We start from the raw sequence: 17,792 nt of genomic DNA, 5'->3' as shown, positions 1-17,792 counted from the left end.
CTATTGATATATTCTTAAAACTTCCAGATAAATTTGGAAATTTAGCAGTATTCATTGGGCAACAATATTTTGTTGATGTTTGTTTTTCAAATTATCTAAACCAAAAAGCTTATTTAAGTTCTACTATCCCAGGTTTCTATGTAGAACTAGAAATTGTTAGTCCAAATTTTATTTAAAAATGATTTATAAAGGATGATTCGACTCTATCTTTGAAAACAAATAATTTCCAGTTTGAATAATGATATGTTAATTAAATTAAAATTGATTAAGTCAGGCGGCATTACATATTTGCTAGTGCTTCAATTTTAGTCAGGAGAGGAATGGATATGCTTTAATATTCAAATGCCACTGTCATGTTTAAATTCATTGCTGTGCTGTGGAAAGAGAAACAACAGAAGCAGCTGTGTGCTCCCACCGCATTGAGCAGAGAATTCAATAACTCTCAGAGTAGGCAGGATTAGCTACTCACTGTCAAACACAGTTGCCCAATTCTGTGCAGCAGATTTTTTTAATATTCCATTTTGGAATACTAAAAGGTTGAAATATGTAAAATATGCAAACATTTCCATTTGCAAGTCACAATGAGAACACAGATGCACAGGTTCTATTTAGCATTATAGCTTTACTGGTTGAACTCAACTAATTTACTAGAGGTATTATCTTTATTAATAACTGAATAATAATTTATTAACAAAAACAAGTTTCCGAACATAGTACTTATTTTTAATCAGTGAGAAAACTTTGCTAAGCTTTTCACCTTTACTAATTGGATACTCTGACTTTTCTTGAAGATTATACCAACAGACTCCATTAGCCTTCTAGACAATGAGTAAAAACAGACTATGCAGTTAAGCCTTCAGGAGTGCTAGCCCAGGAGCATGCTGAAAAATACTACATTAGAAATAACCTGACAGTGATAACTTCAGGGCAATTGGGGAACTATTTTCAGCTTAGATCCAAACTGAAAATTAGCTTTCTCGCCAAAAAGCTACATTTTAGAAAACTCCCACCTGCATATAATATGGGTGAGAAAACACAGAGGCAGCAGAGAGAAGGAGCCATGTGAACAACAACAAAAAAGGTGGTTATATTGGGCTACTGACAATGTCCAGCACAGATACCATTTGTCCGATACAAATATCATTTGAGAAGCACGTACAGTATAATTTTATTCCTAGTACTTATCTTCCTTTCCTTTACCCATTATTTAAAAGGAACACAAAACAATGTTAAAATTACTATAAGTACCTAATATCAGATCTTTCCAGTAAAACTATGTGAAATATATATTGTGAGGCCTTCATGAGTACAGCTTGGTGGGTCCGATTACCTTTGTACTTTTTAGAACTTTTTGCCTAGGCTTAGCCTGAGTGAGGGTAAGGGGATGAAAGAGTGAATGTGCAATTTTCATTCTTCTGTCAGGGTTTCTCTGTAGTCACTATCCTCTTCCTGCATAGGTATTAAGGCTGAATTTGTCTACACATCAAACATGTACCTAGGAGGAATATTTGCTCTGTGCCATCAGCAGTGTAGAAACTAGAATAACCAGGTGAGTGTCTGCAATGTCTGTTCACTTCACAGAAACTCAGAACAAGCAGGCCTGTGTTCTTCTTGCAGCCTCAAGAGGGAGCAGAGGAAAGAGGGCTATGAGTGTTCTCTTAGACACAACAGCAAGTAACAAATAAATGCAAAGGGAAATTTTGCTTAATTAGCTTCAAATGTCTCAAACATTATAGATAACCATGTGATAAATGTATAACAGTAAAAAGATAATATTGGGAAGTTTAGCAGAGTACAGCATCAGCTATTATTAATCTGATGAACTTTTCATTTGTAACCTTTGAAAATACTACTACCATAAAGTGACACATGGGGACAAACCCCTGCAGAAGACATCGTTAGGATTTTAAAGTGTACAAAGATAGACAACAGTAATAATTTGGAGCCCTAAACTTTTTTGTTAATAAGAATTTTAAATAAATTATAGTGGGATGGACACATATTCTGTTTTAAAATAGAATGCATACTCCTAAAAGTTTTTTTGTAAATAAAAAGTATATTTTAACACTACCTAGTTATATTAAGAAATGCTATAAAAATCACTTTGGGAGGGTAATTATACTTCATTAATTTAGTTTCATTTCCACTTCTAAGCCTTATTTTATTACTTGTTTAAGCCTTATTTTATTATTTGTTTATATAGGGCTATCATTTGTATTTAAGAAAAGGTATTCCAATATACTATATAGAGCAGCTGAAGAAGAATAAAGCTGGCTCAGAATCCCTGGATGAGTTTCTGCTGTGGTCGTGTTTCAGTAATTGGGACTAGACTTGCCATCTGCCCATAAATATCTAGAAAACTAAGCATAATAGATAACACATCTGTGTCCAAAAGTGGGACAACAGTCAGTGTGAACTATGACCTGTGAGATAAGGGAAACAAATGAGGAGAGGCCTACAATTGCCCTTGCTCTCTGCCTGGAGGCACTCTCTAGAACACAGTGTGGGATGGGAATACAAAACAGAACATAAGGGTCTCACTAATGAAAAACAGAGCAGAGCAGGGGGAGGCAGATCTGGCTACAGTTTAGAGGATTTAATGTCAGAGAGAAGGGAGCTCTGCAGAGCTCCAGAAATCCATATAAGGATCTCCTTGAGGCTGTTGCTAAATATTAAGCAAAATTTATGTGGGGATTAACTCCATGAGGTCAGGCAAAAAAATAATGTAGGAGTTGTGTACCAAACAATTCCCAGAGCTCACTGGGTAATGTTGAAGTCTGACCACTCAGACTGCCAAGTCTTCATCTGAACATCAAGGGTATCCTGTAGATACCTAATGACAGTTACTCCTTAGTAACTGTTGTTAAGTGTTGTAAGCAGTTTCTGAGATGCTTCCAATGATTCAGACCTCTTAATATTCATGAACTTTTGTAATATTTTCCCATCAAGTGCTAGTGGGACATAGAACTTGTTTGTAGAGAATAGAATACAGCAAATGTGATGAGATGTTACTTTTGAGATTATATTAGAAAACAAAACAATGCTGGTTTACATTTTACTTGCCTTCTCTCTTGCTGACTTGTTCTGATGGAATCTAGCTGCCGTATTGTGAGCTGCATTATGAAGAGAACCATGTGGCAAGACACTGAGGGAGATCTCCAGCCAACAACAACTCATAAGCAACTAAATCTTGTGATGAACCACTGGAGTCATCTGGAAAGAGGATCCTCTCACCTTCAATCTTTGAAATGGCTAGAGCTCTGATGACAGTTGGATTACAGCCTTAGGAGAAACAGAGAGCCGGGGAAATTTGTGCCCAGGTTCCTTTCCCACAGACATTGTCAGATAATAAATATCTCTGCGTTTTTAAGCTTCTATGTTCTGGGATAATTTGTTATGCTGCAATAAATAACAACCTGGAAGTGAGGTGCTGCCATAGTAAATATCTAAATATGGATCATTAACTCATGTCTAAACTAGCCTTAGAATAATAGCTACTCTAGACTTGTTAGCAGAACTTAAAACAAGCCTTAAGAGAACCAAGCTGATCCAGAAATAACATACATTAGCGGATTAAAATCCAACTTTCCTTAAAGAGTGATAGAAAAAGTAAAATACACAATATCTAACATTCAATCAAGAATTACTATTGAGAACATGGAAAAACATGACCCATAAACGGGAGAAAATTTAGTGAATAGAAACAGATCCCAAGATGATAACAATAATAGAATTAATAAACAGGACTTTGTAAACAACTATGATAAATATGCTTGACTGTTTAAAGAAAAACATGAAAATAATAATGATGAGAGGAATTAAAGATATATAAAAGGACCAAATAGAACATCTAGATTTTTATTTAACTTAGGCACTATATGAAGTTAAAGATACACTAGGCAAGACACTGTAGAAGATAAGATAGATAAACTTGAAGACATGGATCTCAAATTTTTCTAAACTGACTTTCTTATGGGGACAGAAAAGACCAAGAAAATATGAACAGTGTCTCCTTAACTTTTTATACTGCCTCAGTGTCTCAATTACTTGTAATGATATGAAACAGTCCAATGTATGTATCACTGGAGTCCTGGAAAGAAAATGAGGGACCAGAAAAAGGTTAAAGAAATTCTAGCCTAAATTATTCCAAAATTGGTAAATACAACATATACTCACTTTGTAGAAGCTCAATGAATTTCAGTTGAGCTAAACAGCAAACAGACAAAAAAACAACCCCACCAATTCTCAAAAGCAAAAACAGAAAAAGCTATAAGCACATCATAATCAAATTATTAAATACTAGCAATGAATGAAAATCTCTTACACAAGTCAGAATATAAAATGCAAATTATTTAGAGAAGGAAAAAGATAACCTATGACAGAAAATAATTAAATAACATCTTCAGAAAACCATGGAACACTGCTAAGAGAAATCACACATGACACAAAAGAAAACACATACCATGCTTATGGATGGGAAGAATCAATATTGTGAAAATAACCATACTGGCCAAAGCAATCTGCAGATTCAATGCAATTCCCATCAAAATACTACCATCATTCTTCACAAAACTAGAAAAAACAATCTTAAAATTCATATGGGACCAGAAAAAGAGTACATATAGCCAAAGAAATACTAACCAAAAAGAACAAACCTTGAAGCATCACATTACTGAACTTTAAATTATATTACCAGGCTATAGGTACCCAAACAGCATGGTACTAGTATAAAAGTAGGCACATAGACCAATGGAACAGAGTAGAGAACCCAGAAATAAAGCCAAATACTTACAGCCAACTGATCTTCAACAAAGCATACAAAAATATAAGTGGGAAAGGACACACTATTCAACAAATGGTGCAGGGATAGTTGGCAAGCCACATGTGGGAGAATGAAACTCTATCCTCATCTCTCATCTTATGAAAAAATAAACTCAAGATGCATCAAAGACTTAAATCTGAGACCTGAAACCATAAACATCCTAGAAGATAACATTGGAAAAACTCTTCTGGACATTGGCTTAGGGAAAGACTTCATGACTAAGACCCCAAAAGCAAATGCAAGAAAAACAAAAATAAGTAGTATCTAATTAAACTAAAAAGCTTCTGCACAGCAGATAGTCAGCAGAGTAAACAGACAACCACAGAGTGGGAGAAAATATTCACAAGCTGTGCATCTGACATCTGACAAAGGACTAGTATCTAGCATCTACAAGGGACTCAAACAAATCAGCAAGAAAAAACAAAAACAATCCTATCAAAAAGTGGGCAAAGGGCACGAATAGACGTTTCTCAAAAGAAAATATACAAACAGCCAACAAACATATGAAAAAATGCTCAACCTCACTAATTATCAGGGAAATGCAAATTAAACCATAATGAGATACCACCTTACTCCTGCAAGAATGGCCATAACTAAAGAGTCAATAAACAATAGATATTGGTATGGATGTGGTAAATAGGGAACATTTTCACACTGCTGGTAGGAATGTAAATTAGTACAATCACTATGGAAAGCAGTATGGAGATTCCTCAAGGGACTAAAAGTAAATCTACCATTTCATCCAGCAATTCCATTACTGGGTATCAACACAAAGGAAAAGAAGTCATTATATGTAAAAGACACATGCACATGCATGTTTATAGCAACACAATTTGCAATTGCAAAGGTACGGAACTAACCTAAGTGCCCATTGACCAATGGGTGGATAAAAAAATGTGGTATATTTATACCATAGAATACTATTCGGCCATAAAAAGGAACAAAATAATGTATTTGGCAGAAACTTGGATGGAACTGGAAGCCATTATTCTAAGTGAAGTAACTCAGGAATGGAAATCCAAATACTGTATGTTCTCCTTACAATCGGTAGCTACCTTATGAGGATGCAAAAACATACAGAGCAATATAATGGACGTTGGGGACTCAGTGGGAGAATTGGGGAGAGTGAGGGATAAAAGACGACATATTGGATACAGCATACACTGCGTGTTTGATGGGTGCACTAAAATCACAGAATTTACCCTAAAGAACTCATCCATGTAACCAAAAACTACCTGTAGCCCTAAAACTAAAGAATTTTTTTAAAAAATAACATCTTCAAACTGTTAAAAGAAAAAAAATATCGATCTAGAGTTCCATACTCTGCAAAAATGTACTTCAAAAATAAAGACCAAAAGAAGATTTTTAAAACAAACAAATGCAGAAGTTGTCACTAGCAGACTTTTACTTCAGACAACAATAAATAGAACTCTTCAGGTGTAAGGACAATGATTCCAGATGGAAACTTGGATTTACTGAAAGTAATAGTGTTGTGATTGGTGAATATGTTACTAAAAATAACATTGAGTCATTTTTTTATTTTTAATCTTTATAAAAAATGACTCTTTAAAACAAAAATAATAGAGTGTATTGTGAAGTTTGTAACATGTATAACATGTATAAAAACAAAAGCACAAATAGGAGATGTAATTATATGTAACTTTTAATATATTACATGTGAAGTTGTATAACATTATTTGAAGTCAATGTGACAAGTTAAAGATGGACAAATCCTAAAACCCTAGAACAACAGCTAAAAATGAAACAAAGTGATTGTTATAGTGAATCAGAGAAAATAAAATGGAATATAAAAAGCTATCAAGATGTCAAAAAGAGAGGGAAAGAGGAAAAATAGCAGAGGTATAAATACACAACAAATAACAAAGTAATAGCTTTAATCTCAATGATATCTGTAAATTAGATGAAGGAAAATGGAATAAAGGCTGCAATTAAAAGGAAGAGATTTCCATGCTGGATAAAATTGCAAGACCCAATTATATGCTGGCCACAAGATACATGTTTCAAATATCAAGGCACATATAGGTTAGTTAAAAAATATAAAATTCATATATATTTTCAGCATGTATCTATGTATCCCTAATTGTGTATGCCCCTAATAATAGAACTTCAAAATGCATGAAGCAAAAGGTGACTGTACTGAAAACACCATTAAAAATACACAGTTATTTGTGGAGATTCAACAATTCTCTCTCAGTAATTGGCAGAACAAGTCAATGTTAAAAATCAATAAAAGTAAAGAAGGTTTGATCGATGTAAGTTAATTGATATTTGTGGAATTTTCTATTCAGCAACAGAAGAATATACATTCTTCTCAATTGCAGACGGTCCACCCACCAAGATGGACCCTGTACTGTTCTGTAAAACATGTTTTAAGAAAGTTAAAAGACTGAAACTGTACAAATTATGTTCTGCACATAATAGAAATTATATTCTATATGTGATAAAATTTAATTTTAAATTAACAGCAGAAAGGTATCTAGAAAATTCCCAAATACTCTAACATTAATCAGTATACTTCTAAATAATCACAAGTCAAGGGAGATTCACAAAGATAGTATGAAGTATTTTGAATTGAATAAAAGAAAAACATACAATGTCAAATTTGTAAGATATAGCTAAAACAATGCTTAGAGGGACATTTAAGGCTTTAAATGATTATATTAGAGAAAAAGAAAGGTCTACAATATTCTATATTGACATCTAAAGAAATGAGACAAAGAAAAGAAAAATCAAATTCGAAGTTACTGGAATAAAGAAATAAGATAAAAAGAAACAGACAAAACAACAAAAAAGAAATGAAAAGGTGAGTGTAGAAATTAATGAAATAGAAAACAAGTAAATAATGAAGTCAGTTATGCCAAATAATTTTTTAAAAGCTTAAAATAAATTTCTGGTTAGACTGGTAAAAACAAAAGAGTGAAAATACAAATTATTAGTATCAAAAAGACAAGAAAGAGCATTACTTCAGATCTTGCAGCTATTAACAAGACTCTAAGAAAATATTATGAGTAACTATGTCAATAGTTTTGACAAATTAGAGAAAATTTTAAAATTATTGGAAAGACAAATTATCAAAATGGATAAATCTCTAAATAATTTATACAAAAGGATTAATATATTCTGTATTAAATTTTGTCATGAAAAAATGGTAAAAAGTTGAAGCCTTTTTGGCACTGATATCTGTAAGTTACTAGTTTAAGATTACACTTTCTAACTGTGTTAGTCCACTCTCACACTGCTCACACTTTTATTAAGAACTATCTGAGACTGGGTAATTTATAAAGAAAAGAGATTTAATTGACTCGTAGTTCTGCATGACTGGAGAGCCTCAGGAAACTTACAATCAAGGCAGAAGAAGGAGAAGCAAGCATGTCTTTACCATGGCAGATCAGGAAAGAGAGAGAGTAGAGGGAGAAGTGCCAGACACTTTCAAACAACCAGATCTTGTGCTAACTCACTCACTATCACGAGCACAGCAAGGGGATAGTCCACCCCCATGATTCAGTTACCTCCCACCAAGCCCCTCTCCTGACATGTTGGGATTACAATTCGAGATGAGATTTGGGTGGGGACACAGAGCCAAACCATATCACTAACTTTGTAGGTGAAATAATGCATATGTTGTTATATACATAATTGATACTCAATATCATTGTTTACTAGGGACTATAAAGTATAGCTATTATAGGATACCAGTACACAGCTAATAGAATAGTTGCAATTAAAAAGACTGACAATAGCAAGTATTGGAGAGTATATGGCACAACTGTGACTCTCATACGTTCCTGGTGGATGGTAACGTGGTACAGCCAGGATGGAAAACAATCGGTGATCTATGCTTGCCATGTGATCCATCCATTCCACTCCTAAGTATTTATCCAATAGAGATGACAATATGTGTTTGCACAAGTGTTTCAGCCCAGAACTGGAAACCAACAGGTGGATGGATTAAGTGCTTTATTCATATTAGTTCCAAAATGGAAACAGGGCAAATATCTATCAAGTGAATATATAAACAAACTGTTGTACATGCAATGGATAAATATATTGTGGTGCATATAATGGAATATTATTTATAAATAAAAAGAGAATAAACTTCTGATACATGCAACATGCATATATCTCAACACGCATAAAAATGTTTTGCTGAGAGAAAGAAGCCTGATGCAAATGAGTATACAGTATTGAAATTCAATTGTATGAAATTCTATAACATGTAAGTCTAATCTTTAGTGACAGAAAGAAGATCATTGTTTACTGGAGCCAGGGTTGCAACATAGGGATACTTACTGCAAAAGGGCTCAAGGGACATGTTCTGTTTCTTGATTGTGTTGTATCCAGTGTCAAAAGCAATCAATATGTATGCTTAAAATGCATGCACTTTATTGTGTATAAAATATGGCTTAATAGAGTTGACAGAAAACTTTTTTTAAAATAGAAAAAGAACAAGTTCCTGGAATATTTTCTTAGTATTCAAATGTTTTAATACATTGGAAAATAAGACAAAAACTTTAAGAAATTAAAGAATACAAAATCTATATTCTATAAACAAGACATAAAAACCCTAAATATATTTGTGTTTATGTTATATTAAACATAAGGATCAGTATGTGTTTACTTTTCCATAATCAAATACCATATAGAAAAATGAAAATTTAGTAAATATGACTTTCTCTTCTTAGTAAAAAAGATGCAAGGAATAAAGGAAATAAAGAGAAGGAAGTGAGAGAAAATGAGTGGAAAAAAACGAGGTGGTTTTGGGTTATATGGTCACAGTGTCTAACATAGATGCTATAGTGCTCAAAAATCCTTGAATTTGCGGGCAATAAAAAGAAAAATCATTGCTTGGGTCAGTGGCCTAAAGTAAAACATTGATTTTCAAATTTTGTTATGTTGTCTGGGGACTATACCTAAAATTGCTTGTATAAGTCTCATGTATCCCTTTGCTGTAGAGAGTCCAAAGACAGAATGTCTTACTCAGAGGAAGAAGAAGTCATAAGAAACGTATTTAGCCTACGGAGGAAGTCTGGAGCAGAGTTTTGCCAAAGTGGGGTCCTCACATGGTGGGGAGATGGAGATGATACACTGGGATTTGAAAAAAAAATTGGAAGTTTATTTGTATCTATTTTATCTACAATTTTAAATTAAGCTTTTTAGTAGATCACATACTGGTTGACCATTATTATTTTATTTTCCAAATGTGAATGGTTTTGGGCAGATTACCACAGTAACCACCACCTCTGAAGGATTATACCTTTCTGCTTCTCTTATCTTCTTTACCTGTCTGGGCCCCAAAGGAACCTGACTTCCACTGTGGGGACATAGTCAATGAATGAATCATTGCATTTTGTGGGGGTGGGGGGCAGTGAGGTTTTTCTAGCCTAGAAAAGAAGAAATGGAATGTATTTTTCAGATGCAGATTTTTCTTACTAGAATGATTACTCAAAAGCCAAACATAGCTCTTTGAACCGAGATTGCAAAACTGGGGAGCACATACACATCATAATTTCTTCGGTGGAGGCAACTCAATTTTTTTAAGGTTCATATAGGAAATTCTTCCCATGGGGCTTCAATTTTCAAAGCAGCTTCCCCGTTGGGGAGTCCATCTGTTTATCTTTGATGAATAAAGAGAAGCCTGAATAGCGATTTAGTACACAAGGAAACAGGAAGAAGGAGCTCATTCTCTAGAATTAGGAACTTTTAGAAAAAGTGAGGCAAGTCCAAAAATATGTTTTAAAGTGTCTGTGAATCATTAAATTATGATCTGTAAAATCTGTATAAAATTTCACTTGCTATCTCAGTTTGCTTTGAATTGTAATCAATGTTCTTAAGTGTATCAGCATCCTGACTTTGTAGTTTCTAGAAAGAAATCATTTAGTAGAATCAGGAAAGCACATTTCTGCATTCAATAGCTCTTTACTTAAATGCACACAGCAGTTTTCAGAAGTGACTTTTCCTCATTGCCTATATTTGCATAACGTTTATTGCCAGAAAGATTATTTAAAAGCAATGAAAGTTTGAATTTCGGGGTGTGCTCTTTAATCAAGGCTGTGTTTATACATCTGGAATCGTTTGGTTATTCAGAAAAGTCTAATATGTTGCATTATTTTCTGTGAATTTTTACCAATAAGTTATTTCCAAAAAATGAAAAATACAAGTTTTGGAATAATGCATTTTAAATTTGTAGTGTATATGCATTCTTAGACTATTGCTTATTTGAATTGATGAGAGTTACATAATTGGTCTAGAAGGAGGCTTGTCATCTTGTCAAGCAGAGGAAGAAAGAGATTTGGAATCATGAATAAAAGACATTTTATTCTTGGCTCTTCATTTACTCTTTGGAAAGTCTTAGGCAAATACATAGTTTTCTTTTCCATCTATAATCCAAAATGCAAATAGAGCAATAATATTGTTCATCAGACATAAAAGAGATTTATCTTGCATTATTTTAATTCTCCAAAAATGGAAACATCATGCAAGGCTTTAAATAAATCCCTGCAATTTCTAATCTATTTTTGCATATATAGAGAATTCAACTGTTGTTCCCATTTACTTTTTTTTGTTTTTATCTGAAAATACACGAAATCAGAATCTTACATTATAGAGCATTAATAATGAAGCTCCAAAATTAAAGTTATATATATTTACTTAAATATGTGCCATCAAATTTGTTTTCTAAATCTGGGGAATGGAGTAATTCACTCCACAATTCTCAAAATTGTTCCCCAAATTTCCTTCTCTCCATAAACGAATGAAACTACTATTTGTTATGCAGCATTAGAACTGGTGCACGGTCCAACAGAAAGGCAGCTGATTGACTGACTATATTTATCAAGGAATGTTTTATTTTATACATAAGGAAAAGAGTAATGATTGTAAATAATAAGCACTAATCTTTTAACCTTTGTTTTTACTTTCAGAATTCTCACATCTATATCTAATAAATTTCCTTCAATGTTACTACTGACTGTAGTCTTCATGAAATATATCAGTAGAGAGTGTAGTTATTCTGTAAGATTTTGTCCTGGGTTTACTTTGTTCAAAATAGATCTGGAGAAATGATACTATCTCATCTGTGTGATTTCTCACTAACAAAGCTAAAAACTCGTTTTTCAAACTCACAAAAACATGTATACATACAGTTCCCCATATTTGTCTCATACATTCCTGCACTACTAAGCCACCCCAAATTTCAACTTCTGTAGAATGTCTTCCTTATTTGTTATATAAATCAGCAAACATTTATTTGATGCATATATATGTGTATGTATTCAAGACATTAGGTTTTGAAAATATATCTATTTTCTTTGACTTTAAATGAAGAAATATAATTATCTGCCAAAAATATTTTCTATAACAAATATAATCTCAAAGCAGTAAGTACCCAGTTTAGGGTAGGAGGCTTTTAAACACATCTCTCTAATTTATTGGAAATTTCTTTCTTTTTGGAAAAGAAATCAAGTGAGAAACTCAACTATGTAACTAATAGATACAGCATATAGTTCTTACTTAAATTGTATAAGTGGTAAGTAGATATTTTCTAAACTGTCTTTGTTTTACAAATAAAGGATCATGGCTACATTAGTGTGTTGCACTCATTATCAACCGCTTTTTTTACTCAGATATTCATTCTTATATTTGGAAAGTGTGGCCTCTGTTTTCAAATTAATTTTTAACTAAATTTTTATTAATATATTTAAGAATTATTTTTTGATTTCCAAAATTTGCCTCCATGGATAAAAAGGATTTTGATAAGCAGGTAATGGGGGAAGAAATCTCAGTGAGACAAAGGACTCGAAACTCTATTACCGTCTCCAGAGTGGCCTCTTCATGGTACAGATTCCTGCTGATTCTCACGCCTGTCTAGATCAATCTTTTTCTATCCTGACACTAAAACAACTCAGAAGTTCTCTATGGAATGAGAATGAAAATAGCTTCACAGAACTTGGAATAGTGCGTGCCTCGTTGTAGACATTATAGAAATGGCAACAATTATTGATAAGTTTCATTATTATTCAAATATCAACTACATATATGTACACACCTTTCCTTCCCTTCTGCCAAAGTTCCATTGTGAAATCCAGTTCTTTGGACTAAACTCCTTGTTTCGTTCAGAAAAGTGATTTCTCTCTCAGGATTTATTATAATCCATGTCATTAAAACTGGATTCTGTCACATGGGGTTTCTCAGTCTCTCATGCATGTCTATAGACACGTGAAGACCCGTGGAGAATAGAATTGACTAATTTTATCTTTGCCTTTTGCTTGACTGTTTTATCTTTCTGTTTTTAGTAATGTGTTTTCATTAGTTCAGCTACTCTTGTTTGATATATTCTAAGGTTTTAAATTGATTAGAGTCAAGCCTAATCTTGACTCTGAATTACATCTGAACTTTACCATAATTTACTAAATAAATCAGTGTTTCTCAACTCTACTGCTTGTTAGGATCACCTGGGAAGCTTTTAAAAGCTACGTGTGACTTGGCCCCCACTCCTCCTATAGTTGGACCTGGATATTTTTAAGTTAGCCAGGTGATCCCACCTAAAAATCAGAGACAAAAACCAGTGAAATAATAAGCTCACTGACCAATCTCTTGTGGGCAAGATGCCAGTCATTAAGATACCATTCAGCTTTCTTAATGCAATCACTTAAGTTCTGTAAGTTCGTATCACATTTATCGATCATCTACCAATGAGAATTCGCTGTGCTCAGGACTGAAGGGACAAAAATAAGTCATGGGTTCAAGTGCCAAAGAAAGCATTTCTAATGTTTCTGTGGAAGTAATGTTTTCTGCTTTCATTTTTCCCTATCATACATACTCATACCCAACTTAGTTTTTGTATTGATGCCTGTGTGAATTCTAAGGCCAATCAACATTATGTCAAATGATTTGTAGCATTCTGACAGATGTTTATTATTCACTATTAAATGGTACCATTTGCCTACAAAAGGTTTTAAACAGGATAATGACAAAAACTTGAGCTGTTTTGTGGTTCACAAATGCAGTTTTGTGGTTAGCAAGAATGAAACCCAGAAGGTATTGGATTCTGGCCTTGCCTGCAGTGATTAGGTAGAGAAAGCAACTATAGTTGTCAGCAGACCCTTTCCAAACATAACATCAAATACCTCTCCAATGGTTGAGTAACAGAAGAGAGAGCTTAGATTGGAAACTCTGCAAAATGCTTTCAACAGTAAAGTTCTGTGATTCTAAGAATTTAGGTAATGTGTGGTCTAGACCTGATGGTCCAATGTGGTACCCAGTAGCTGCATATAGATGTGTCTACATATAATCTACACATCTACATCTACACAGGATCTATAAAAAATTTAAAAATCATTTTCACATTTGCACTAGCCAGATTTCAAGCATTTGTTAGGCACATGTGGCTAGTGGCTATATATTGGACTGCCCAGAACTGGAGCATTTCCATCATTACAGAAAGTTCTATTGAAAAGTACTGGTCAAGATAGATATTTTAAAACTCCAAGTAAAATAAATAGCACAATAAAGGGAAAATTCACATGTAGGTCTCTATAAGCTACTTTGCATTACTCCGTTTAAAATAAGAGGCATGTGATCAGTAGTAAGTCTTGACCTACTTTTCAATAACTGTAATTAATTTTCCTTCAACTGAAATTCCCTAGAATTACATTTACTATCCTTAACCATGAAATAACCATTGAAAAATGCCCAAATCTGCTTATATAAAAAAGGTACATACTTTCTAAATTTATCTGTATTATCAAGGCCATACTATTGTTTGTCTCAATTTTATTAAAACATCCCCCAAAAAAGTCAATTTTGGGGCCCTACGCCATAGCACAGGAGGTGATAAACTGCTTTTGCTAGGTCTGGCCCAAAAGAAGAGGCTGCGGTGATCATTTAAGGTCTATTTACATTGTGCCTGAACTTTCCATTTAGTCTGTATACAGGCATTTTATATATGACTTCTGTAACCACAGAAACAGTGCCCTTGTCTGCAAAGTTTCTCAAGTCTGACATGGGGTCAGATCCTGGACAGTGGTAAATAGCAGGACATGTCTGATAGAGAGTGAGCAATGACTGTTCAATTAGGAGATCAATAAGTTACTTCTTATACACATAAATGGTTGCAAATGAAAAATTCATGGATGTTTATCTTGTTTTTCAACACATTTAACCAAAATAAAGTCAATGGATACATGCTGAGCCAAAAGAGAGTAAATTTAAAATATAAAAGATATAGTGATATTTACCAGGTAATTCTTCTAAAGAAAACACACCCCCACCCTCAGGTCTGTAGGTAGTTCATTATCCGTGGCAGAGGATTTTGGTCTATCCTTTCTTATTCAACTATGTTGTTGGGAAGTTGCTGACTTTTAAGTATAACAATGTAAATGAAAAAAGCAATTGATAATTTTCATCTCTAATTCCTGTGATTCTACCATCCTACTGAAAAGGCCAAGAGATTAAAAACTAGCTGAATCACTGCATAATAAAAGCATCCGGCAACAGTGGGTGTAAGTACCATTTTAAAAGAAGGAATGTGAGTGGGAGAGCAGTGTAATTTCACTGAAGATGAAGTAGTCTTCAGAGCTGCACCTGTCAACAGAATCTGTTTTAAAATGTGCTTGCAGACAGAGTTTATATGGTTTAGCCAGTACCAAGAGAGGTGTTATTAACAGTGGATAATGGAAAATAATCTCTGAAAAGTATTTGCTCTTCTACTTGATATGCATTTTGTGCAGGATCCAACCAGAGTGGCATTTTATAATTCTCATGCTTTCATAATTTAATTATGTTGTATATTTACAGAGCTTACCAAGGATTTTATGATGTATTCAAAATGTTTTGCAGTGAAGAAAATTTTGATTTGTTCTAGTTTATTGACAATAAAGAAAAAATTTACATTTCAAATAAATTTATCTACATAGAGGGAGGAATAAGCAAATAGAGGCACAAGAGAATAGTGTAGGTGTCAGTCAGGGTAGACTCATTTGTGCTGTAACCAAAAATGACCCCAGATCTCATTGGCATATAACGAGGAACCATGAGTTCTCACTTACGTTACATGTTCATACTCTCAGGAGCCTGGCTCAGTGTCACCATCACCTGAGACCTAGGTCGCAGGAACAGCCCCATTGGAGACACTGCTAGGCTCAAGGGAAAGGAGAAATAAGAAGGTGGAGAACCATGTGATGGCTTGAAATACTGTTTGGAAATGATGCATGTCAATTCTCATAGTCCATTTGCCAAAGCCAGTCTCATGACAAACTGAAGTCAATGAGGTGGGAAGGTATAGTTCTCTATAGCAAGGGGCCCTGTAGGTGGAGCAGGAAACATTTTGAACAAATACTACTATGTACTATTGTTTTCAACTACAGTGTAGTTGAAAGCTTAGCTTTTGGAATCAGACAACCTTGAATTCAAATCCTGAAACAGCATGATTTTTTAAAAAGATAGTACATGCAAAATATGTAGGCTATTGTCTGCTACTTACAAACACTTAGTGTTAGCTCTTATTATAATCAAGCCCTGTTTAAAGGTTTTTTGATGCTTTTAGCTTCTTCATCACTATAATAAAAATCTTCAACATATTTGAAAAATAATTGTAGTTCTAAATATTTCCAGATGCCTAATGGAAACTAATGGAGCTATTAATTTCAAATACTCAATCACAATTCACATAACACTTTTTGCTCTTCATATTTTAGCAGGGATAGAGGAAGGGATTAGGAAAGAAATAGTATACATTGTCTTTTTTTTATAAGAAAAATGAAAAAATTTGAATTAATTGTAATACATTCTAATTCAAAAGTAGCTTATAGTCACATAAGAAAAGCTAGTTTTTTCACACCTCTATTAGAGTTTTATGATTAAGATTGTTTTTTAAAAATTTTTCAATTCCTACTAATTTAAGAGACTTAAAAATCTGGTTTTCTGCTACCATTCCAAATTCATTTCTTGTAGTACAAAATTAACAATCCTGAGAGTTATTAAACCAATATTAAAAAATTAATAATTCTAAAAGAGAACACATGATAAAGAACCCAGAGGTTACACCTGGATGTTTTGTTAAATGTCATAATATTAGTTCTAAAATTACTTTAGTATTGGTAAAATGGTGAAATTTTAATGACCAATATTCATAAGATTTCTTTGTCTGAATTTGACTAATTCAAATGACTGAAAAGTCTTTGAACTGTTATAGATTATAGTAATAATAAAGGTGAAAGAGGATGAGATACTTTTAAAAACCAAAGCATATCATTCTCACATTTAACATTTATAAGCAAAATTTTCACCGAAAAACTGCCATTTCTTTTTACTGACATTTAGGTTGATGTTTTCCTTTATTTTAGGGTCACTGATTAAATGTTTAATGTGAAAATGTTTCATACATTAAAATAAGGCAAAAATAACACTAGTGAATAAAATAATCTTACTTAAAACAAGCTTTGGTATCCCTTGGACTCCTTTCCAAACAAAGCAACAATGAAACAAACAACATTAAACTTTAGCTTACCTTTTAGAAAAACAGAAATTTAAAAGCGTATTTCAAAACACAGATAATTTACATTCCAAAAAGAGAAAAAAAAAACACCAAAGTGACCATCTTATTCAAACCATTTCCATTCAGTCACTTAAGCTTCAAGAAACATATGCCAAAATTTAGGCCTCTCAGTATTTAAGGTGTTGTGAAATGTAGAAGGTGTTATTTAATCTCTCTTGACCTCTTCCCTATGGCATTCCTCCCTCTGATGGTTTCTTGGCACCTCAGTTTAAATGTGACCACTGCTATAGTTTGAATGTGTCCCCTAAAAAGCATGTGTTGGAAACTGAATTCCCAATGCAACAATGTTGAGAGGTGGGCCCTAATGGGAAGTGTTAGATCATGAGGACTCCACCCTCATGAATGGGTTAATACCAATTACAAAAGGGTGGGCTTGAGGCTCTGAGCTTGACCTCT

The 17,792-nt window shown here is 33.5% G+C and overlaps 1 long non-coding RNA gene across 1 annotated transcript in view, besides 1 other annotated feature; it reads left to right on the top strand.

Moving 5' to 3' along the window:
• The window catches only part of LOC105377509 (uncharacterized), a 227,163-nt gene extending 223,793 nt beyond the window's left edge, over positions 1-3,370 (top strand). The window contains exons 5-6 of the long non-coding RNA XR_007058347.1: positions 1,458-1,549; positions 3,099-3,370. This is a non-coding gene — a long non-coding RNA (uncharacterized LOC105377509). The remainder of the gene's footprint in view (positions 1-1,457; positions 1,550-3,098) is intronic.
• Positions 1,409-1,703: a silencer, noted in NCBI's record as "tiled region #11014; HepG2 Repressive DNase matched - State 8:EnhW". NCBI's record gives its function as "represses a minimal TATA promoter and a strong SV40 promoter by Sharpr-MPRA in HepG2 cells {active_cell/tissue: HepG2}" and the evidence as "EXISTENCE:reporter gene assay evidence [ECO:0000049][PMID:27701403]".
• Positions 3,371-17,792: the final 14,422 nt, after the last annotated feature.

This window comes from Homo sapiens, chromosome 4, assembly GCF_000001405.40.
Source record: "Homo sapiens chromosome 4, GRCh38.p14 Primary Assembly".
Taxonomy (NCBI): domain Eukaryota; kingdom Metazoa; phylum Chordata; class Mammalia; order Primates; family Hominidae; genus Homo; species Homo sapiens.
The sequence above is the reverse complement of the archived record's forward strand: the minus strand, read 5'-3'. Positions and strand labels throughout refer to the sequence as shown.